Source organism: Homo sapiens, chromosome X, assembly GCF_000001405.40.
Source record: "Homo sapiens chromosome X, GRCh38.p14 Primary Assembly".
Taxonomy (NCBI): Eukaryota; Metazoa; Chordata; class Mammalia; order Primates; family Hominidae; genus Homo; species Homo sapiens.
Window position 1 is genome coordinate 11,819,410 of NC_000023.11, and position 24,412 is coordinate 11,843,821.

The 24,412-nt window shown below is 37.0% G+C and overlaps 1 protein-coding gene across 2 annotated transcripts in view; it reads left to right on the forward strand.

The window, feature by feature from the left end:
- Positions 3,030–24,412, forward strand: part of FRMPD4 (FERM and PDZ domain containing 4) — a 902,085-nt gene continuing 880,702 nt past the window's right edge. For both annotated transcript variants that reach the window (NM_001368398.3, NM_001368395.3), the window contains exon 1: positions 3,030–3,306. The gene's annotated coding sequence lies outside the window, so the exon portion shown is untranslated. The remainder of the gene's footprint in view (positions 3,307–24,412) is intronic.

Here is a 24,412-nt window from a genome sequence, read left to right on the forward strand (position 1 = left end):
ATTTTTTTCTTTTCTGTTGTTTGATAAATGCTTTCTTTATTAAATATTCAGTTTTATACAAAGGAAACTCATTTTCTGGGCTACTGATTCTTTCATTTTAACTGATTTCTGTCTGTTCTTAAGCCAGTATTGTACTGTTTGAAATCTTGTTGCCTATAATATATATAAATTCCTTTGGGGACTAGTCTTCTTCCTCTGTCTTATTCCCTTTTCTGTTGCCATAACAGAGTACGAAAGGCTGGGTAATTTATAAAGGATAATATTTTATTTCTTACAGTTCTGGAGGCTGGGATTCCCAAGGTTGAGGTGGTGAATCTGGTGAGGGCTTTCTTATTGGTGGGGACTCTTTGCAGAGTCTGGAGGTGGTACAGGGCATCACATAGCAAAGGGGCCCATGAGAGATGGCCAAACTGGTTTTTATCACACCTCCTCTTGTGATAACTAACCCTCATGTCCCAAAGGTCCTGCCTCTCAACATTGTTGCATTAGGGATCAAGTTTTCAACACATTAACTTTTGGGGGACAAATTCAAACTGTAGCACCCTCATTTGTTTAATTTCTTAAATTGTTTTTTATATGAATTTTAAATAATTATTTCCAGCTCCTAGAAAAATCCCATTGAGAGTGAGTCTCTAGTGTCCAGTGCCTTGACAAATACCTTTAAAACCTTAGTCTGACTGTAAAAGGCCCCAGTCATGTGACTGTACTTTTCCTATTCCCATTTTTCAAAGACTTCAATTATATCTAGGGCACTTCTTTGCTACCTTCCCTGTAGATCATTTTCCATTTTATGAGTCTTTTCTTATTTCTTTCCCAGCCCAGATTGCACTTATAACAGTGATTTGTCTCACAGGCTTTTCATCAGTAACTTGGCATATGTAGAGTGTGAGTGTTGGAATCATACAGTCCTGGGTTGGAGTCCCAGCTCTGTTTCTTACTAGCTGTGTGGCCTTGAATGAGTCACTCATAATCCTTGAGGGTCAGTTTCCTCCTTAAAATTAGGTCAACAGCATCTTCCTTGCAGGGTTGTCAACTGGATTATAGCTAATACAGGCAAAGAATCAAGCAATTGGACAGTTGTTTTGTGTCTTTTGAATCTAATAATAAAAAAGCTTGTATTTCATATGTATGTTTTTAAAATTTCATTTTCTAGTGATTCATCTTTGTTGTATTTGTAAAAGTCTTGTTTTGCAGTGGACTGGACATTCTTTAAAAATTGGTTCTTCACCGCAGTTTGAGAAACATTATTCTAAGCAGGGGTTGACAACCTGTAGCCTTTGCACTGGTTACCTATTTTTGTAAATGTTTAATTGCAACACAGCTACACCCACTCACTTATGTATTGTTGTTGTCCCTCCATATCTTTGGGTTCTGCATCCATGGATTCAACTTAAGAAGATATGTGAAAAAAGAAAATAATAAAAAATAACAGCACAATAAAAATATAAAAGTAAAAAATAATACAAGTAAAATACAGTGTAACACCTATTTATATACCATTTGCATTGTATTAGGTATTATAAGTTAATCTAGAGATGATTTAAAGTATACAAGAGGACATAAGTTATATGAAAATATCATGCTATTTTATATTAGGGACTTGAGCATCCATGGATTTGGGTATCCATGGGGGTTCTGGAACCAATCCCCCAAGGGTACCTGAGGGATGAAAGTATCTATGACTGCTTTTTTTTTTTTTAAACAAGGGCAGAACTGAGTCAATGTGACAGAGACTGCATGGCCCACAAAACCTAAAATATTTGCTATGTTACCCTTTACAAGAAAAGTTGGCCAATCACTGCTCTATTCTGTGTTTCATAGTTCCCCAGCTGAATTGAGTTCCACTTGTCCTCAATAATGACTTCCTTGATAACATACCTTCTCTTGCCTTCTTTCCTTTCCTTGTCTTGTTTTCTCATCTGCCGTTGTTTCTTAGATCTTTTCCCATAGAAACTACCTGTACTCACATTATTGACCCACAGTTGACTTCTAGGGGTATCCAACCACTGTGGTTTGAATGTGTCCCCTAAAGTTTGTATGATAGAAACTTGATTCCCAATGCAAAGGTATTAGGTAAGGCCTATTGGGAGTTGTTTGGGTCATGGGGCACCACCCTCAGGAATGCATTAATGCCATTATTGTGGGAGTTGGCTTATTAACATAGTAGTGGGACTCCTTATTGTGGTAGAGGGCTCCTTACAAACGGATGACTTTGGCCCCCTCTTTCTCTCTCTCTTACCCTTTCTTTACTTATCTGCCAAGTGATGATGCAGCATGAAGGCCCTCGTCAAATGCTGGTCCCTTGATCTTGGACTTTGCAGCCTTCAGAACTGTGAGAATAAATTTCTATTTATTATAAATTACCCAGTCTCAGGTATTCTGTTGTAACAGCACAAAATGGACTAAGATGCAAACCTATACGTGCATCATGTCTTTGTCTGTCCTGGTCTTGCCCCTACCATTCACTAGAAGTGACCCTAGAACGTGTCAGCTTCAGAACTTCAGTTAAGCTACCAGCCCCTATCCCCCACCCCATCTTTACTGCAGCACCATATGAAAATTCAACTTTGTGGGCATGAATTTTTCTAATTTGTTGCATCTATCTTACCAAACACCACCTCAGCACCAGGGGTGGTAGAGGAGAGAATGAAGATGGGACAGAGGAAAGAAAATTCCATCTTGCCCTACATTTGATGCTTGTTTCTTAATACAGCTTGTAAAGCTTATAGCCGATCCCAAGGTGTCAATGTATCTGAGTCGTGGCTGATTGTTTTTCACTGACCTCTGGACCTTTTCAGCCTCATAGGACATGGCCAAGTCATTGCCCACCCCAACCTTATTGCTGCTGCTTTCATATGTTTCTGTCTACTACTTCTAATTACTTAGGTCACTTCAGGCTTTAAATCTGTCTTCTAAAGTGTAACACAGCCATAATTAGGCCATATGTTAATTAGCAGGATGACACCCTGTGCCTTGTCACTCGTGCGGGATGTGGATCATCCCAGAAAGTGCCATAGAAAGGGGAGTTCAGTGAGAAGAGGAAGTCTAAGGAGGCTGGAAGTGACTCTTTGCTCAGCAAAAACTGCCTTAGAGAGCAGGAGAAAATGGCAGTGTGCAAGATGGGGAAAGGATGGGGTCACACAAAGAAAAAGAGCTAGAGTTGACCTCTTTTCCACTCTGGGAATGAGATGTAAGCCAGGAGGCAAGCCTGAGGCTGAGACTCCACCAGGGATGGCAGAATCTCCTGAAGGATTGGAGGTGGTGGCCAGGGCAGAGGCCAAGGTCTTGACAGAGGCCACTGACGAGGTGAGTGTCAGGCATGCCCCCATCTCTATTGCCTGGAAATTTGTGGGGAGGCCAATCAAAAATCAAGGCTACTCTCTACTTCTATGGATACTGTCAGTGCCCTTTAGGAAATCTAAAATCTAAAAGAGTTGGGTCTGATTGGTTGGGACTGTTTCTATGTGCCATTTACTAATTTATTTCTGGTTCTTCCTTTAGTTAATAGTTTTCTATTAACTAAACTTGTTTTCTGATGTTCTTGGCATAGGAAAGTTGAAAAGGAGACTGGCTACGTCCCGACTATTTCCAGTTTCAGATATTGTCACCTTCATCACTCAGGAGACAATTTCCAGGAAACTAATTACTGAGGGAATTCATGATTGGGTGGGATGACATGTGAATTATAAAGATATTAACTTCAGTTTGCTGTCAACCCATGATGTGATAGAAACCTGTTCTGTCATCACCTAACTAACGGATGCAAGAGACTAAAGGCATTCAATTTAAGTTACATATTTGCTTGGATTTTAGAAAAAGGCGTTTGTCACAGGAACTCTCAAAGCATGCCAAAGGGGACATTTGAGGGCTAAGTTTATGATAATATAATAATAATAATTATTATTATTATTACCATTTATTGCTAATATTTGTTGAGTTCCTACTATATTCGAAAACTTTACAGGCATTACTTCTAACACTCCTTACAATTCAAGGAAAGTATCATTATCCCATTTAACCTGAGGCTCACAGACATTGGATCATATTCAAAGATCACACTGCCAGCTGAGACAAAACTGAAATCTATATTTCTTTTCTTTTCCTATTTAAATTCTAAAATTGGAGCTCATGTGACTTTACTGGGGTCAGCAAACTTTTTCTGTAAAAGACCAGATAGTAGATATTTTCAGCTTTGCCAGCCATACGGTGTGTGTTGCAGCTACTCCACTCTGCTGTTGTAGCACGGAGGCAGCCATAGACAATTCGTAAATAAATGAATGTGGCTATATTCCAATAAAGCTTTATTTGCAGACACTAAAATCAGAATTGAATATAATTTGCACATGTCATGAATTATTATTGTTCCTTGGGTTTCTTTTCAATCACATAAAAATGGTAACATTGTTCTGTTCACAAGCCATATAAAAACGGGCGGCAACCCAGGTTTGACCCACAGGTAATAGTTTGCTCATCCTTGCACTGTACAAAACTGCCTTTCTAACAACTTATGAAAATAATGAAGTGAAAGCAGCTGAGCTACATATTTTACCTAAGGGAGCCAAGCCAAATATGGGGAAGCTGATGGGACCATAGTTCTTATTCTGGCTCTACCATCAAATTAAATTTATAGGTTTAGGTATGTCTTAAAAACTTTCCCAGATGAGATTCCTAACAGCTCCACTATTCTTTCGTCTTAATCATAGTATGCCTGTACCAAATGATTTCCATAAAATCACAATCTGAATATAAGGTGACAAATTTGGTGGCGCCATCAGCAATATGGGGAAGACTTGGGAAAGAGTAGGTGTGTGGGTAACATCAAGAGTTTAGCCTTGAACAAGTTAAGTTTGGGGCACATAATAGACGTAAGTGGGGACAGTTGGATATAGAAATCTGGAATTCGGAGAGATAGCAGGACTAGATATTGAAATATCGGAGCCATTAGCATGTAGACTGAATCTGAGTACATCATGGCATCTTTTAGGGCAGGATTTCATAACCTTGGCCATTGACCTTTGGGGTGGAGTAATTCTTCATTGTAGGGATTGTCCTGTACATTGTGGGATGTTGAGAAGCATCCCTAGTCTCTACCCACTAAATGTTAATAGCATACTCCCCTCAGTTGTGACAACCCAAAATATCTCCAGACATTGCCAGACATCCCCTGGGGTGAAAGTCATCCTTGGTTGACAATCACTATTTTAGGCTGAGAATGGTCCTTCATGACTCCAACTTTGGAAATCAGAAAGAGGAGGAGAAAATGGGAAAAGAGACAAAGAAGGAGTAGTCAGTAAGTAGAAAAATTCATATGCTGGGTCCCAAATGTCTAGACTAGACTTGGTTTAACATTTGTTGAAAGCCAGAGGTGGAGTGTGGACAAGAGGTAATGCTCCAGAGATCAGGGCTGAGCCACAGTGAGCTCCACAATATTTTGTTGATGGGATTTCCAGTGGTGGTTAAAGGGATGGGGTAAACCAGGCTCTAAATGCATGGAGCCTGAGGGTGATGCAATGGACAGAGTGGTGTTTTCTAGTAGAGAATGGTTAAAAAAAAAAAAAAGTGGTTAAAAATAGCACTGGGAAACCAAAGATAGATACCTTTACATGTTTCTTCTTCTTTCTCATTTTATTTTTAGAAATAACTCTCAAAGGATAAAACTGTTATGGTCTGGGTGCAGGAGAAAAACAAGAACAGAAATAGAGTTTCTGTGGTTTTGAGGAAAAGCAAAAGTACTTGAGAGATGTGGTTTTTGGCATCCTGAGCTGCAGGATGTGTCTTCTTTGTGTGTGTGTGTGTGTGTGTGTGTGTGTGTGTGTGTGTGTGTGTGTGGTCTCTTCACTCATCTCGTGCCTAATTGTAGTAAAAAAAAAATAGTGAACGGCTTGTGTGAACTCTCTCTATACATTTAAAAATTGAAGAGCTATGGCTTGATAAAGGCTCAACACAAAGGTTAAAAAATTGAATCCCTCATATTGAAATTAATGTCATTAAACAAGTATGCCTCTTAGTCACATGATAATAAAATACCAAAAGAAAGGGAAATGTCTGCTTTTTTTCCTTTTAAGTCTTCTCACTTCAAAATGAGGATAATAAACTTACCTTATGAGGTTATGTAGGAGTGATTATCAGTGTTTAATACTTAGTTGGACTTCTGTAAATGTTTAAAAATAATAACAATATGTATCCTGATAGTGGTGGTTACACAAATTTAAACAGGTAATAAAATTTCATAGAACTATATATACCGCACCCCCCCACCAAAAGAACACAGAAAAGGAGTGAAATCCAAACAAGATTATTAGTTGAGTTAATACTATTGTACCAACGTCAATTTCCTCATTTTGACAATGTGCTACAGTTATGTAAGATGTTCTCATTTAGGAAAGCTGGGTGAAGGGTACACAGAGCTCTGTATTATTTTTGCAAGTTCTTGTGAGTCTTAAACTATTTCAAATAAAAGCTAAGACTATTGTGTAGCTCAGGATCATTTTGTTTTATTGTCACCTTTACCTCATGGATTCATTTTTGGTTTTTAATAGAGACGTGTACCATAAGTAAGCCAGATTATTAGCTTTTATTTATAAAAGACAAAATAATATCTGATCAATATATGTTTAAGCTAATGCAGTAGATTATAATCCAGATCATGAACCTAAATTGCTCTTAATAAGCATGTAGTCACAAAGTTCAATTATAGGTGAAAATCTGAAATTAAACAGGACTGCCATTTAGTTTTTAGTTTTAGCATATTTTATTTTTGGATAGTCCAGGACTCATCTAAGTTTGCCAAAGATTGAAATAGTCACACAACACATTCTTAAAGTCCCTGAGAAGTAGAAAGTAGAGGTGGCTTGCCTACTTTTTAAGGTGAGAATTTCTATTTCAGCAGACTTTGGGGAGGGCAAGCATCTTCTGTCTTGCTGATATGCCTAAGATGTGATCTATTTATATTACAAACCATATGCAGAGCCTGGCAAGCCTCTCTGCAAATGAGCTCATTCGCTCTGCCCTAAAGGAGGAGGATAGGAGGGGGCGAAAAGACATTAGGGACCTTTAACAATCATTACACCTCTTGATGCTGATTGAACAGGAAGGATAAACAAAATCTATGATTTCTGACAGGAAGCATAAATAATAAATACCTGTCAAGGGGAACTACATATTCTCTTTAGTCATTTTTATAGGTCATCAAAGTCAAGTTCCTAAAGACTTGAGTACTTTTTAATAGGTTTCTCTTTTTGGCATGTTGTACAAATTACAAGTACAGATAATTTCAGATTTATCTTGCCAATGGGCCTCCTTCGAAGTGTGATAAATTCTATCTAGAGCTTCACTCAAATCAACTAGTATTAATAGAACATTTATCCAGTGTTAAATAATTAGATCTGTCTGTAAGGAAATAAAGAAGAGCAGTTGCTGACCTCAAAAGGTTCCCAGACAAAGAGGAATGAGACTAGAAAACAAAGTGTATTACAAAATGCAAGCACCGTGAGAGAGGTACATACAAGGCTCAGAGAAAGGTATGAGGAGGAGGTGTCATGAACTGTTTTGGACAGTGTGTGGCAAACTGGGCCTGCAAGAAGGGTGAATTTCTGGGGCATGCTGAGTTTGCCACAAGAATTTAAAATTTTTGTGTTTTATTTAGATGGAAATTATATATATATATATATATATATAAAATATATATGTTCTGTATATAACATATATAAAAGGTGTATTTTATATATAATATATGTAAATTATATATAATATACATTTTATAAATTATACCTTTTATACCTAAATGATACCATATATAAATTACATATATTATATCATATATATGGTATAATTCTTTTTTCCCCAGTCATCTGGATGAGTGTGGGTGTGTATCTTATTGAATACTCACGGCCATGTGATCTTCATGCATCTGTGCACTGTTCAAATGGGTGACTTAGTTTAGTTTAGTTCAAATGAGTAATTTGCTTTAGTTTGAATGGGTGGAAGTAGATAAGAAAACCGAGTCATTTCATAGCAAAGGGTAGTTGGGGACATGGGACTGAAAGAATCTGGACTTGAGCATCACTGGCATATTCGGAGTTCCAGTGGTTGTTTTGCATAGATGTCATCTTTATTTGTACCAAGTAGCAAGACTTCTAAGAAGATATGTAGTAGTCCATATTTAATGAAGAATTTGTCTGTTCGTACTTCCAATCACAACTGGATAAGATAGCCATTTAGCGCCTGAATAATGCCCTGGTGCTTACCCTGCGTTTAAGGGAATCAAAAAGCTGTGCCTGTGACGGATTCATTCCCATTTCTCCATATTCTTGCCATGAGCAAGGTAGTAGAAATTTTAAAACTTTAATGAAAATGCCAAAAGAGCTACAGATGCATGGACAGCGTATCAACAATGTATCAATCAAATTTATACTTAGTTGCTAGTAAAAAAATTATAAGAGAGTGGCTTAATTTATAGCTTTATTAAGTCCAGAGTGGGTAGTCCAGGGTTGTTCTGATGGCAACATGATATAAACAGGGACCAATGCTCCTTTGGCTTTCTGCTTTGTCATCTTTTGGGTATGACCCTAATCTTCCTGTTCTCAATATGGCTGTCTGCACTCAAGCCATCATATTTTTATTCTCAAACATGAAGAAGGGATAGAGCACAGTAAAGAAGACATATGCCAACTGTGTTATCCCCATTAAAATTGCCTTCCTGGAAGTCACCATTTGTGATTATTATAACCTAAAATTGTCCAGGAGTATCTAAAATGTTCCTAGTTGTAAGGAAGGCTAGAAATCTTGCTTGTAGCTTGTTACATTGTCCCTTCAAATAATCTCAGGTTTCAACTAGTACAAAAAAGAGAAAATTAACATTTAGTAGACAGCTAGTAGCCTCTGCAACATTGTATCATATATCACTGATCCAACTTCAGCAACTGCCCGCACCAGACTTTTTGATATATGAGAAAAGGAAACCTTTATTTGTTGAAGGTCCTGCTATTTAGGTATCTGCTATTTGCAGCTAACCATATTCCTAATTGAAACAATATGTAAACACTTAATTGGTGTTTAACTTTTAGAACTTTTAGAATGGGCTTATTGACCAGGCATCACAAATTCAAATATATTCAGAACTATACAGGCACTGTGAGTGAGTGAGAGAGTGGTTTGGAAGGGGGTGGGCCTGTCAAACTGGCAAGTGTGTGCCCCATCGAAAGTGGGCAAATGCTGCTGCTGCTGAACTGAGAGAGGTGCCTTCCTACAGGATTGCTAGCCCACTGTTCCGAGACAGCAAATTTCAAGAGAACCAGAAAGCTGGATCTTTATGCATGTTGCAAGGTCGCAGTTTTTTTTCACACCACAGAATGGATATGAAGAAAAGAATCTCATTATTTAGTCTGCAATTATGGCCTGCTCCCAATCTCTTCTGCTGCTGGTTCAAGGAAAAACACAACAAAACACCAGCAACACCTAAAAGTCAATCTTGTTTAACTGTTAGTCCACTGACAATTTTGGAAATGTCGATGGTGCAGATCTAATCTGAGAGCGAGCAGGCTCAAGCTCCATGAAGAGCTGATGTCTCAGTTGGAATCTGAAGGCAGGAAAGAGCCAACGTCCCAACTTGAAGGCAGCCAGGCAGGAGTTCTGTCTTACTGGGAGGAGGGTCAGCCTTTTTGTTCTACTCAGATCCTCAACTGATAGGCTGAGGCTCACCCACATTATGCAGGACAATCTGCTTTATTCAGTCTACCAATTTAAATGTTAATCTCATCCAGAAATACCCTCCTACAAATACCCAAAATAATGTTTGACCAAACATTTGGGTACCCCATGGCCCAGTCAAGTTGACACATAAAATTAACCATCACAGTGGGCTTTCAACTATCATAGTATATATAATATACTGGCAGAGATAAACTGATTGATTACCTATTGTCAGGCTATTATAGAAATCTATGAGGCTGGATCCTTGAAGTGTGGCCTTTGGAAAGCTTAAGAGAAATATAAAGTAAACTAGGAAAATCTTTTCTCAAGAAAATAAATAGTTTAACTAACTGTTGGATACTATGCTCACTATCTGGGTGACGGGATCATTTGTATCCCAAACCTCACCATCATGATATACACCCATGTAACAAACCTGCACATGTACCCCCTGAATCTAAAATGAAAGTTGAAGTTATTTTTAAAAAAGAATAACCACTAGTTTGGAAGGATTAGTGTCCTGCTTCATAAGTCTATTTTTGAAGATCAGAAGATGAATATTTCCTTAGATTCTGTCTCTGAATTTCCTCTGTAATAAATTCTGGTCTCTCTCCAGACAGGTGGATAACTGAGCATTCTAGGGTGAAGGTCATGTCACTGAGAAAGCAAAAGAATAAAGCACAATAGAAATATTAAGAAAATAGGACCTTTGTTACACATGAAATCTCAGTTTAAAATACAGGGAAACTCGTTCAATTTATAAATTTCTGTTTAAATCAAACAAAACTATATCGTCTTTCACTTAGGGACCAACAGTTTGTGACCCTTGCTGGACAAATTGCAGACAAGTTTTGTTACAGAATCAGGTTGGTGAGGACTGGGAAAAAGAGTTGGAGGAGAAGGGGAGAACATTACTGCTTTCCCTTATAAAGTGGAGAACCAAGAGACATTGCCTATGGTGCACAGAACATAAAATAGAAAAATAGAAGCATGTTTTAGAACGCTTAAGAATGCTGTCAGTGACAGCATTGACTAATGGAGGTCTTGATCTGGAGATATAACTATAATATATGTCTAAATATAAGTGGACCCTGAATATGAGTCAAACCATCATTTTCCTAAATGAGAAAGTTGGAAACAACTTTTCTTTTTTCAACTTGAATATACAACATTTAAAGAAAGAGTTGAAATAGCCAATGTCTACCTATGATATTTTAACTTTTAGTTATATATGTATGTTTTAAACCACATGTTATGTAAACTACACTGTTATACAAAATTGCTCTTTTTCACTCTCATATTTCATGATTTTTTTTCAAATGGCGACACATGCACATTGGCATTCATTTCTCCTTCATCTGGAGCCACTTGAAAACATAGTGCCATATTTGCTTCCACTAAGTTGTTTGACTACAGCACTTTTTGAATCTGAGTTTGATGTTGCCATTAGAAATTTTATCCTAATTTACATCTACTCATTAATTCGTAGTAAGCTCCACAACATAAGTATTTAATGTATTTTAATAAAGTAATTTTTTAAAAAAGCTTGTATGCAGTGGCATCCAGAACTGCTGTTTGAAGCCATTTCTCCAGAAATATTGACTCAATCTGTGTTAAATTTATTTACCCTCCCCCGTCATGTCAGATACCCTTTATAAACATCCAAATCTAGCTTTGATTGAGGTCATTTCAGGTTACTGTGTCTTCCCCAAATAGTAATTTGTCGTTTGAAATTAAGTAATTGAGAGACTGCTTATAATATGAAGGTCTTAATAAGGACTTTATTTTTTATGGGATAATTTTGAGCAAAAGTCTTGCCTTATATTTGGCTACATACGGACTTTTGGGAAGGGCTACTGGAAACTTGAGGGTAAAGGAAGTAGGTTAATTCTTCATCTCTAGTACCAGAAAAGTAAAAGAAATATCTTATTTTGATAAACCAAGAAATTGTCACATAAAGCACATACTATCTAGTGATACTGAGACAACTACTAGATGATCAAAAACCGGTGGTAGTTTCAGTTAGTGGCTTGTGGGGAGCCAGATTGGGACAGGGTAAGACTGAGTCAATAAATTGTTCTTCATTATAAAAGCACCTGAACTATGATATCTTATAATGAAAAAAAATTAAAACTTAAAGCGGAATATTACAGTCCAAATGAGAAATGAAGGACTGTGTCATTGGTAATGAGGATGGAAGGCAGAGGTTGGTTTTAGAGCTGCCTGAGGGTAGAGTTGATGGGATTTCATGCCTGGATTATGGCGGTTCGTGGAAAGGTAAGAATGCAAGATTACTTCTGTCTAGTCTCCCAGCTTTGGTGACTGGGTAAATATGATGCTGAGTTGGAAATGCATGAACAGGGGAGTGAACAACAATTAAATCCATTGTGAGCACATAAACTCTTAGTATCTGTGACCTAGTTAAGCAAAGATGAGTCTGGGGCTCTTAGGAGAGACACACATTTAGAGTTCATCAGCATATGAGTATAGATATAGCCATGGGACTGGATAGATTACCCAGCAAAGATGTTTCATGTAAGATAACAAGGGTAGGGATCGGGCTTTGGGAAAACCATCATTATTAGAAGGGAGAGAAGAGAATCCATTGAGAGAAAATGGGCCGGAGATAAATGAGGTCAATACCAAGAAGGGGAAAGTATCAAGGAAAAGAGTAGTAGCTGTTTTAGATATTGAAGGAATACCAAGAGAAATAAGGATGGGGAAGTATCCAGTTGATTTGGCAAAGTATTTTTTATTTTCTAAACAAGGCCATGAACTCCTTAAAAGATAGATCTTTCTGTCTGCAAACAGTTTAAAAGAACCTCTTGGGAAAATTATGACTTATGAGTGTTTAGTTGAAATAAACTGAATATCCTTCAAGAGGAAAATGACCTGGGCACAAACTAATGAATGTGCTTTTTGGCTCAGCTTGCCCATAGCCCTGCACAGTGGTAGCCTCACCAGCACCTAAACTGAGCCCCTGTTTTTGTCCTCCAGGAACTCAAGGTCACTCTGAGCCCTGCTTGCTTTCCTCCCTGGTTCTGTTACGTTATTGCTGATCCCTACCTCATTTTCTTCCAATGCCCATCTGTCTTGCAGGAGCTTCACATTTACTGGTGGTATACTCTGTTTAACAGATACCGGATTTGCCTCCAGACACTACTCTTTCTGATTCCCATGGATATATCTAATGGGCAATAACTATGGGGAGACAGACATCTCAATGCAAGGAAGACTCTCAGACAAAGTGATTCAAGGAGGTATTGAAAGAGTTAATCAAAGAGGCACCAAATTTCCATTCTCTGAGCATCATCCAGCACAGACGAGATGACCTTTCAGCAGTTGTGCTGCAGAGGAAATAATTCATCTATCAGAATTCATCCATTGGATGACCTTTAAAATACCTTTCTGTCCTAAGAGTCAATGGTCTCTTGATATCAAACAGAGCATAGAAATCAGGGAACCTCGGGGTTGGAAGGGGCTTGAAGAGGTCATTTGATTCACTTTCTACCAAATAAATATGTCCCTTCTACTACCTTATTAAAGAGGAGCATCCCCAACTCCTTTTTTAAACTAATAAACTTTAGTTTTTAGAACCATTTTAGGTTCACAGCAAAGTTGGGTGGAAAGTACAGAGTTCTCAAATATCCCCTGTCCCACTGCACACAGGCACAGACTCCTTCATTATTAGCATCCATCACCAGAGTGGTACATTCGTTACAATCAACCTACATGGACACATCATCACCCAGAATCCATAGCTTGCTTTAGAGTTCACTCTTGGTGTTGTACACTCCATGGGTTTTGATAAATATATAATGACATATATCCACTATTGTAGTATCACACAGAATAGGTTCACAGCCCTAAAAATCTTCTGTGTTCTGCCTATTCATCCTTTTCTCCCTACTAACCCATGATAACCCCTAATACTTTTACTGTGTCCATAGCTTTGCCTTTAACAGAATGTCATATAGTTAGAATAATACAGTATGTAGACTTTTCAGATTGGCTTCTTTCACTGAGTAACATGCATTTAAATTTCCTCCTTGTCTTTTCATGGCTTGATAGCTCATTACTTTTTAGTGCTGAATAATATTTCACTGGATGTACCACAGTTTCTTTATCCATTCATCTACTGAAGGACACCTTGGTTGCTTCCAGGTTTTGACAATTATGAATAAAGCTGCTATAAACTATAAACATCTGTGTGCAGGTTTTGTGTGGACATAAGTTTTCAATTCATCTAGATAAATACCAAAGAGTATGATTTCTGGATCATATGATAAGAGTATGTTTACTTTTGTAAGAAATTGCCAAACTGTCTGCCACAGTGGCTGAACCATTTTTCATTCCGACCAGTAAGGAATGAGAGTTCCTGTTGCTCCCCCATCGTCACCAGTATTTGATTTTGGATATTGGCCACTCTTGGCTTCTTTTTGAATGCCCCCCAAAATGATAATTCACCATGTCAGAAATTCAGGATACTTTTAGTGGCTGGGAAAAGTAGAGCTTTACAGGAGAGTAAGCTGAAATAAAGAATGTTTGCAGCCTCTCCACCTGGACACAGACAAGGTTCGGTGTGGGTTTTGGGCAGTGCACCCTCCTGCAGCAGAGAGCTCACCGAATATCTATTTCCTTCCCTGCATTTTGCAGCCTCTCTTATAGTTGGGTTGGAGCATGTGATTGAGCTCTGGCCAATGGGAATATGAGCAGAAGTGAAGCCTCACTGCAGATCGGGCTCACTTAAGAGCCTATGAGCTTCTTCTTTTTTCTATTTCTTATGTTCAGAGACCTTGGAGTACTCTGTGATCCAGATGAAACAGCTGTGACAGATATATGAGCTTGAGCCCCAGAAAGACTGTGTGGAACAAAGATCCCTCTGAACTGGGACATGCATCTTGAGTAAGAAATAATCTTTGTTATGTTAAGCCACTGAGATTCTAGGGTTGTTACCTCCACATAGCCTAGCCTTATCTGACTAGTACGCCTCTCTTTCCTGACCCTTAAGTTCTCTCTTGGCTCTTAGTCCTTTTCTCTCCATCCAGTTATAACTCCCTTGTGTGTCTGTGCTACACTTTAACTTCAGACCACTTAAGTTATATTTGGCAACCTGACCCATCTCAACAAGCAATCTATCCATGTCAATAAGGTTTTCCAAGGACCCAGTTCATTTCGGGGGGCTGATCTTTGTCTTTGGACTCTGTGGGAATCTATATGTTTATTTGTCTGTCCAGTCCTTCCGTTGGTTCTCCAATTATTTCTCAGAGTCTCACTGATACCAGCTGGTTCCAGTCTTGATCTCCCTTGATGACAGTACCCCTCACGTGACAATTACCACATAATACCACACCGTCTGTTTTTAGAAGAGTCTAAATGATGTCTTGGTTTTTTCTTTAGGTGAGCTTAATGTGCCCCATGAAAATTATCTTGTATTTATTTGGTCAACCTCCATTCTCTGGAGTTGTGAAAATATCTTCTTCCATGTGATAGACTTGCAGGTAGCTGAAGATGGAAAGCTGTCATATTCCTTCAAATTTATTATCTAGGGTGTCTGTTTTTATCCAGATGAATATATATGTATATAAAACAAAAGTGAAACCTTCTTAATAATAAGAAAGTAGAATGATGGAAGGATAGGTATTTTAGTACATCAATATAGTTATAACTAATATTACACATTTAACACAAGAGGAATGAACTTATTTAAAAAACCATAACACATGCATAGGCTGAATGATTATACCTATTATCCATCTGCTTTTTATACTTTTAGTTTTTTTGGTAAGATTTCACTTGGGGTTGAAACTTGGCAAAGCCTTAGTCTGACAGCAATTTATAAAATGTAAAATGTGAGAAAAGGAGAAAAGGATCTGTCATATTTTTTTAATTATAAAAGCTCAAGGCAAGGAATAGCTCCTTTATCTTCTTTTCCCTTTTATGAATTTGGGAAGTCACAAAAAAGGAAGGGTTGGGAGAATATAACCTTAGCACCTATCAGCTTTTTAAAAAACTTGCTCTATGAGTTAAAATGAGAGAAGTAACCACTGACCACTGACTTCATTACAGAAGTCAAAGAGGCCACTGTGATTTTAAAAGTACACTCAGAAGAGCCCATTCTGCCATGATATTTTCCTAGTGTCTCTTGTCTTCTAAAGCCAGAAAGACTACATATTTCTTTATAAGTTTGGAGGAGCTCTGGGAGCCTGTTACTGTCATATTGTTCCATTTAGCTCAAACGCATTTTTCTACCTAATCTTATCACTATCAGGCTTTCTCTCCCTCCTCCATCTCCTTCTTTCTTATCAAAGCATCCAGATAGCACGAAGGCAGCAGGACTAAGAGAACAGGTATGTACATAAATAGAGAGGATGAGAAATAAGCACGTACAACGTGGCATCATAGGAAGTGGAATGGGAGGTAGGGCGTTGGGATGAGCAACATTGAGCAGGGGTACTATAGGGTCAAGTGGCCTGAGTAAGAAGCCAGTTTGGCTTAGCCAGGTGACTACTTTCTCTCCTTCCTGCCTTCCCTCTTCTTTTTCCCTGATTTCTTTCCTTGCCTCCTGCCCAGTTACTTCATTTCCTCTCTTCCCTTTCAACCATTTTGTCCTTTGGCTGTTTTCCCCAGTTTTTATTAGTCTTCTTTCTGGTAACTCCTGCCCTCTTCCCAGTATTATCACTTGACATGCTGTGCAGGAAAACGTTAACAGAGTGGGCCTGACACTGGTATTTTTAAAAGGCCCCCTTTCAACTTTGCATTTGAAATATTCTCTAAGCTATCATAGGTTGTTTTGCCCATGTGGGGCACTAAACACCTGTTTCCTTCTGGGAATTTACTATTATAGTAGATGTGGCAGGTCGTTGTGCCTACATTATGATAGAAACTTTGGACTCTGAGTCTCAAGCAAGCCTCAGTGGAAAGAAACAGTATACATGTATTACTAGATATCATTGCGAGAGGAGGGAACACAGTCCTTTCTGGTGTGAGGGAGGGAACATAGGAAACCTGTGCATGGATTCCTTCAGACTCGTCCTGACATATCTTTTCCTCTTGGTGATTGCTGTAATAAGCTATAACCATGAATACAACTACTTACGGGGCCTGTGAGTCCTTCTAGAAATTGCTAAATGTGTGGGTGGTGTTGGGACCTCTGCAACACATACCAAAGCTAATGTTTTGCCTGGCCCATTTTTGTTAGCTTCAAAGTGGTATTTAAAAGGCAGATAAAGGACTACTGAGATTTTTCCTTGTGAAAATTATTATTATTTCCCATTGGAAAGAGACTTATTTTAAAATTAGAGGTGAGGGTGAATGGCAACTACTATGTACCAGACACTGTGCTAAGTGCTTTATATGCATGTGTCATTTAAACAACTCTGTGAGGTAGTAATTATCACTCCTACTCTGAATGTGAGGAAGTTGACTCACCAAAAATTACAAAGATGGGAGCTAGAGGAGGCAGGGCTTCAGAGGTTTAGTTCAGTTTAACAAATATTTACTGAACAACTAGTATATACTAGGCAACATGCTATATACAAGAGAAAATGATAAATGAAACATAGAACAAGCTACAGAGTTGTTTAGGGAGGAAACAGACAGATAAACCCAATTGTTATGCTCTGATGAAAACTATGCCTGGGGTGCTATAGGATTTGAATCTAAATCTTTCTGATGGCAAATGTATGCTTTTTCTTCTTAGTGTTCATTATTGCTATACCCTGCCTTTCAAAGGAAATGCACATGAGGAAATTTAAAAGTTCTATTTCATTATTCTTATTAGGTTTTGAAAGCTAAGAGAAGTATATGTTCATGATAAAAAGGTCTGACAGTTCAAAAAAGTGCAAAGTGAAAAGTCAAAATCTACGTCCTTTTTCAACAGTTTCCTCCATTCTATTCCCTCATTGGAGCCACTTTTCTGTTTTCTTATTGTCCTACTCATTGCCTAATACTGTAAAATATCAAGTAAAAAGATATGAGCCCCAAAATATCTAAATTTAATCCTTAAAATAACAAATCACTTTCCTCATAGCCTTTCTGGGCAGAGTTTAAGCATTCTGAGGGGCCATGGCCATGTGGGACTGAATTTGCATTTCTGACTATGAATTATATTACTGACTATGAATTATATTTTAGTTTATATTTCAGTTCATTTTTAAACTGAAAAAGAATTGTATTTCAGTACATTTCTTTTTCATTAAAAAATACTAGTTGTCAATTCTTTAAGATAGGAGTCTTAAATATTTATGTTGATGTTGAATTTTGAGAAAATTTTTTTGGAATGTCCTTATATTCAGTTTTTCCAAAAGCTGAGATGATACATTTCTTCTACCTTTGATCCAAAAAAGCTTAGGTTCCTAAGGATGTGGTAAAAGAATCATGCAACAAAAATAGATTCATGTTCAACTACTGCAAAAATACGTAATAGTGGATAGAAATGATACATTTTTATCAAGAATAATAGAGGGCATGATTCATGTTAGGACTGGAGGGAATCTTAGAGCTCACCCAGTGTGTCCCCTCGTTCTGCATGTCAGACTCTTCAAACTGCTAATCATGAAAAGCAGAAGTGAATAGTAACTTACAATGAGAATGGAGTTCGTTTGTTTTTAAATTCTAGAGGCTATTTTTGTTTGCCCCTGGATGAGTTTTCTTGTGTATGTTTAAGGAATTTGTAGCAGTACAAGCTGAGTAATTAATAAGTAGAAAATCCACTATAGTAGATCTGATTTAGGAGAATCGCTCAGTCTCACCAACCTTATTCCTATGAATTTAAAGCAAATATGTTCACTTCAAATTAAATCATTAAGAATCTAGCACAGATTCTTGACCTATATTCTAAGGTACTCTAAATTCCATGGGGAATAAGACCCCCAACATGAAAAATTAGAAAGCAATATCAGAGCTCAAATATGACACACAGACAAAAGATGCTATAAGGATATTCACATATTTTTATAAGTTGAAGACACTTTTTTTTACATTTGGCACCTTGTCTAGATTGATACCACAAGTGTTCTTTTCTAATAAAGTTAATGCACACATCAGAACACACCACAAAGATCTGCTACATATTTACAAGGCACCAACCCTTTCTCATCTTTAATGTGAATTATGCAAATCAATGAAAAGCATATCAAGATCTCCCCACCCACAAAAAAACTGTAATATAAATATATACTTCGGTTCAGTACAATTCATGAATAGATGGCCTGGGAATAGCAAAATAATCCAGATAGCTCTTACAGTATCGAAACTGTAACCATTTAATAGCTGCCTTCAGGATTGGTGTATTGTGCAAAAGTTATTATTCTGGGGGTAGGAATCAAAATGGCAAAAACAAACCATATAAAATGAAGAAGATATTTTCATTGTTTGTAAAATAAATATTTTACATTAAATTTACCCAAAGGTTTTCTTTTTGTATTTTTAGTGAACGTATAGAGTTGTGTAACTATCATTTCAGTCTTAGTTTAGAATTTTTCCATTACCCCCAAAATTTCCCTTGAGCCCATTTGTAGTCAATCCCCACCACTATGCTCCCCACTTCTGCTGCCACGAGGCCCAGGTAACCACTGATCTGCTTTCTATATCTACATATTTGTCTTTTGAAATTTCATATACATAGAATCGTACAATATGTAGTATTTTGTATCTGGTTTCTTTTATTTAATGTCATGCTTTTGAGGTTCATCCATCTTGTAGCATGTATCAGTAGTTTCTTTTTCTTGCTGAATAATATTCCATTGTATGGATACACTACATTTTGTTTATGGAATCACCAGTTGATAGATATTTAGGTTATTTAATTTTTTACTATTATAAATAATGCTGCCATAGACATTCATATACAAGTGTTTATGTGGATATATGTTTTCATTTCTCTTGGGTAGATTCCTGGAAGTAGAATTGCTGGCTTGTATATTCAGTTTAAGTTTAAATTTTAAGGAAACTGACAAATTGTTTTTACAAAGTAGCTGTATCATTTTACATCCCCATCGGTAGTATATAAGGGTTCTAGTTTCTCCAAATCCTCACCATATTTAGTTTGTGTTTAAATTTTAAGGAAACTGCCAAATTGTTTTTACAAAATAGCTGTACCATTTTACATCCCCATCAGTAGTATATAAGGGTTCTAGTTTCTCCAAATCCTTACCAACACTTGTTATTGTTTCTTTTTTACTGTAGCCATTCTAGTGTGTGTGTCATGGTATCTTATTGTGGTTTTTATTTGCGTTTCCTTAATGACTAATGGCATCCTTTCATATACTTATTAGTTATTTGTATGTCTTTTTTGGTGAAGTGCCTATTTAAGTCTTTTACCCATTTTTAAAATTGTGTTGTTTGCCTTTTTATTACTGAGTTGCAAGAGTTCTTTACATATTCTATATAAAAGCCCTTTATTAGATATATGATTTGTAATATTTTATTCTTTTCTGTGGTTTGTGTTTTAATTTTTTAATTGTGTCTTTGAAGTGAAAAATATTTTAATTTCAATAAAGTCCAATTTATAAGTTGAAGGTCATGAAGAGTTTTTTCTGTTTTCTTCTAAAAATTGTTTTATAGGTTTAGTTCTTACATTTAGGTCTAGGATATACTCTGAGTTAATTTTCATGTGTGGTATGTGGTAAGCCGCTAAGTTCCTTTTCTTTCTTTCTTTCTTTTTTCTTGTTTTGCAAATTGATTCTCAATTTTCCTGGCACCGTATGTTGTAAAGGCTGTTTTTTCTGTTTGTTTGTTTGTTTTTCTCATTGAATTGTCTCAGTGCCTTTGTTGAATGTAACTTGAACATAATTGAAAGGGTTTATTTCTGGTCTCTCAATTCTGTTCTATTGGTCTATATACCTATCATATGCCAATCTCATATTCTTTAGATTACAGTGGTTTTACAGTAAGTTTTGAAATTGGATATGTAAGTCCTCTAACTTTGTTTCTCCTTTTTCAAAAATATTTTAACGCTGCATTTCCATATAAATTTTAGAATCAGTTTGTCAATTTCTATAAAACAGTGTGATGAGATTTTAATAGGGATTATATTGAATCTGTAGATCAGTTTGGGGAGAAATGCCATTTTAACAGTACTGAGTGTGTCAATTTATGAATATGGAATGCTTCCCTATTTGGTTAGATTTTTCCCCAATTCTCTCAGCAATGTTTTGTAGTTTTCAGTGTACAAATATTACACTTCTTTTGTTAAATGTATTCCCAAGTTTTTATTCTTTTATATAATATTGTGGATGAATTTTTTTAATTTCATTTTTATTCATTGATAGTACATAGGAATACAATTAATTTTTTCATGATCTTGTATTTTGTAAACTTGCTAGGCTGGTATGTTAGTTGTAGTAGGTTTTGTGTAAACTTTAGGAATTTTTAACATGTGGAATCATATAACCTCAAAATAATTGCATGTCTTCTTTTCTAATCTCTCTGTATGTGAATATGTGTTTAGTCTCATTGCACCAACTAGAACCTGCAGTACAATTTTGAATAGAAATGGCAAGGATGTTCATCCTTGTTTTGTTCTTAATATTATGTTAAAACTTTCAGTCTCTAAGTATGATGGTAGCTATAAGTGATTTTGTGCCCTTTCTCAGGTAAGGAAGTTCCTTTATATTTTTATTTTTTATTTTTTATTTTTTTTTAATTTTATTATTATTATACTTTAAGTTTTAGGGTACATGTGCACAATGTGCAGGTTAGATACATATGTATACATGTGCCTTGCTGGTGTGCTGCACCCATTAACTCGTCATTTAGCATTACGTATATCTCCTAAAGCTATCCCGCCCCCCTCCCCCCACCCTACAACCGTCCCCAGAGTGTGATGTTCCATTTCCTGTGTCCATGTGTTCTCATTGTTCAATTCCCACCTGTGAATGAGAATATGCGGTGTTTGGTTTTTTGTTCTTGCGATAGTTTACTGAGAATGATGATTTCCAATTTCATCCATGTCCCTACAAAGGACATGAGCTCATCATTTTTTTTATGGCTGCATAGTATTCCATGGTGTATATGTGCCACATTTTCTTAATCCAGTCTATCATTGTTGGACATTTGGGTTGGTTCCAAGTCTTTGCTATTGTGAATAGTGCCACAATAAACATACGTGTGCATGTGTCTTTATAGCAGCATGATTTATAGTCCTTTGGGTATATACCCACTAATGGGATGGCTGGGTCAAATGGCATTTCTAGTTCTAGGTCCCTGAGGAATCGCCACACTGACTTCCACAATGGTTGAACTAGTTTACAGTCCCACCAACAGTGTAAAAGTGTTCCTGTTTCTCCACATCCTCTCCAGCACCTGTTGTTTCCTGACTTTTTAATGATTGCCGTTCTAACTGGTGTGAGATGGTATCTCATTGTGGTTTTGATTTGCATTTCTCTGATGGCCAGTGATGGTGAGCATTTTTTCATGTGTTTTTTGGCTGCATAAATGTCTTCTTTTGAGACGTGTCTGTTCATATCCTTCGCCCACTTTTTGATGGGGTTGTTTGTTTTTTGCTTGTAAATGTGTTTGAGTTCATTGTAGATTCCGGATATTAGCCCTTTGTCACATGAGTAGGTTGCGAAAATTTTCTCCCATGTTGTAGGTTGCCTGTTCACTCTGATGGTAGTTTCTTTTGCTGTGCAGAAGCTCTTTAGTTTAATTAGATCCCATTTGTCAATTTTGGCTTTTGTTGCCATTGCTTTTGGTGTTTTAGACATGAAGTCCTTGCCCATGCCTATGTCCTGAATGGTACTGCCTAGGTTTTCTTCTAGGGTTTTTATGGTTTTAGGTCTAACGTTTAAGTCTTTAATCCATCTTGAATTCATTTTTGTATAAGGTGTAAGGAGGGGATCCAGTTTTAGCTTTCTCCATATGGCTAGCCAGTTTTCCCAGCACCATTTATTAAATAGGGAATCCTTTCCCCATTGCTTGTTTTTCTCAGGTTTGTCAAAGATCAGATAGTTGTAGATATGTGGCGTTATTTCTGAGGGCTGTGTTCTGTTCCATTGATCTATATCTCTGTTTTGGTACCAGTACCATGCTGTTTTGGTTACTGTAGCCTTGTAGTATAGTTTGAAGTCAGGTAGCGTGATGCCTCCAGCTTTGTTCTTTTGGCTTAGGATTGACTTGGCGATGCGGGCTCTATTTTGGTTCCATATGAACTTTAAAGTAGTTTTTTCCAATTCTGTGACGAAAGTCATTGGTAGCTTGATGGGGATGGCATTGAATCTATAAATTACCTTGGGCAGTATGGCCATTTTCACGATATTGATTCTTCCTACCCATGAGCATGGAATGTTCTTCCATTTCTTTGTATCCTCTTTTATTTCATTGAGCAGTGGTTTGTAGTTCTCCTTGAAGAGGTCCTTCACGTCCCTTGTAAGTTGGATTCCTAGGTATTTTATTCTCTTTGAAGCAATTGTGAATGGGAGTTCACTCATGATTTGGCTCTCTGTTTGTCTGTTATTGGTGTATAAGAATGCTTGTGATTTTTGTACCTTGATTTTGTATCCTGAGACTTTGCTGAAGTTGCTTATCAGCTTAAGGAGATTTTGGGCTGAGACGATGGGGTTTTCTAGATATACAATCATGTCATCTGCAAACAGGGACAATTTGACTTCCTCTTTTCCTAATTGAATACCCTTTATTTCCTTCTCCTGCCTAATTGCCCTGGCCAGAACTTCCAACACTATGTTGAATAGGAGTGGTGAGAGAGGGCATCCCTGTCTTGTGCCAGTTTTCATAGGGAATGCTTCCAGTTTTTGCCCATTCAGTATGATATTGGCTGTGGGTTTGTCATAGATAGCTCTTATTATTTTGAGATACATCCCATCAATACCTAATTTATTGAGGCCTTTGACGAAATTCAACAACGCTTCATGCTATATTTTTATTTTACTGAGAATTTTTGTCATGAATAGGTGGTAGATTTTGCTAAATACTTCTCTTATCTACTGAGATGATCACATGGTTTTTTGTCCTTTATTCTATTATTATGGTGCATGAAATTAGTTGATTTCCAACATGTTATATATACTTTCTATTCCTAAGCTATATTCCATTTGGCTATCTTGTATAATCCTTTTTACAAGTTGCTGAATTTGGTTTGATTACATTTTGTTAAGTATTCTTGCATCTATGTTCATGAGGAATATTGGTTTGTAATTTTTTGTGTATATGGTATTTTGGCCGCTTCTCTGTAGTCTGGAAGAGTTTGTGAAGGTTTAATGCTATTTTTTTCTTTAATGTAGAATTTTTGGCTCTAGTATATCTCCTTTTCCTACTCCCTCTTTTCTTTACTATTAGTGTCACATATATTGTAACTCTATATGATATAAATCCTACAAAATAGTGTTATACTTTTTCTTATGTTCTTTAAAGAAGTTTAAAGAAGAAATAAGAAAAAATATTTATAGTCTTTGATGCTTATCCATGTATTTAGCATTTCCTTCCTTCTTTCCTTTCTTTTCTTTCCTTTTTCTTTTTCTTTTTCTTTTGCTCTGTCACTCAGGCTGGAGCACACTGGTATGAGTATAGTTCGCTGTAACCTTGACCTCCTGGGTTCCAGTGATCCTCCTGCCTTAGCCTCCCAAGTAGCTGGGACTACAGGCATGTATGACCACATCCAACTTATTTTTTATTTTTTTGTGGGTCTTGCTGTGTTCACCAGGCTGATGTTGAACTGCTGGACTCAGGTAATTCTTCTGCCTTGGCCTTCAAAAGCACTTGG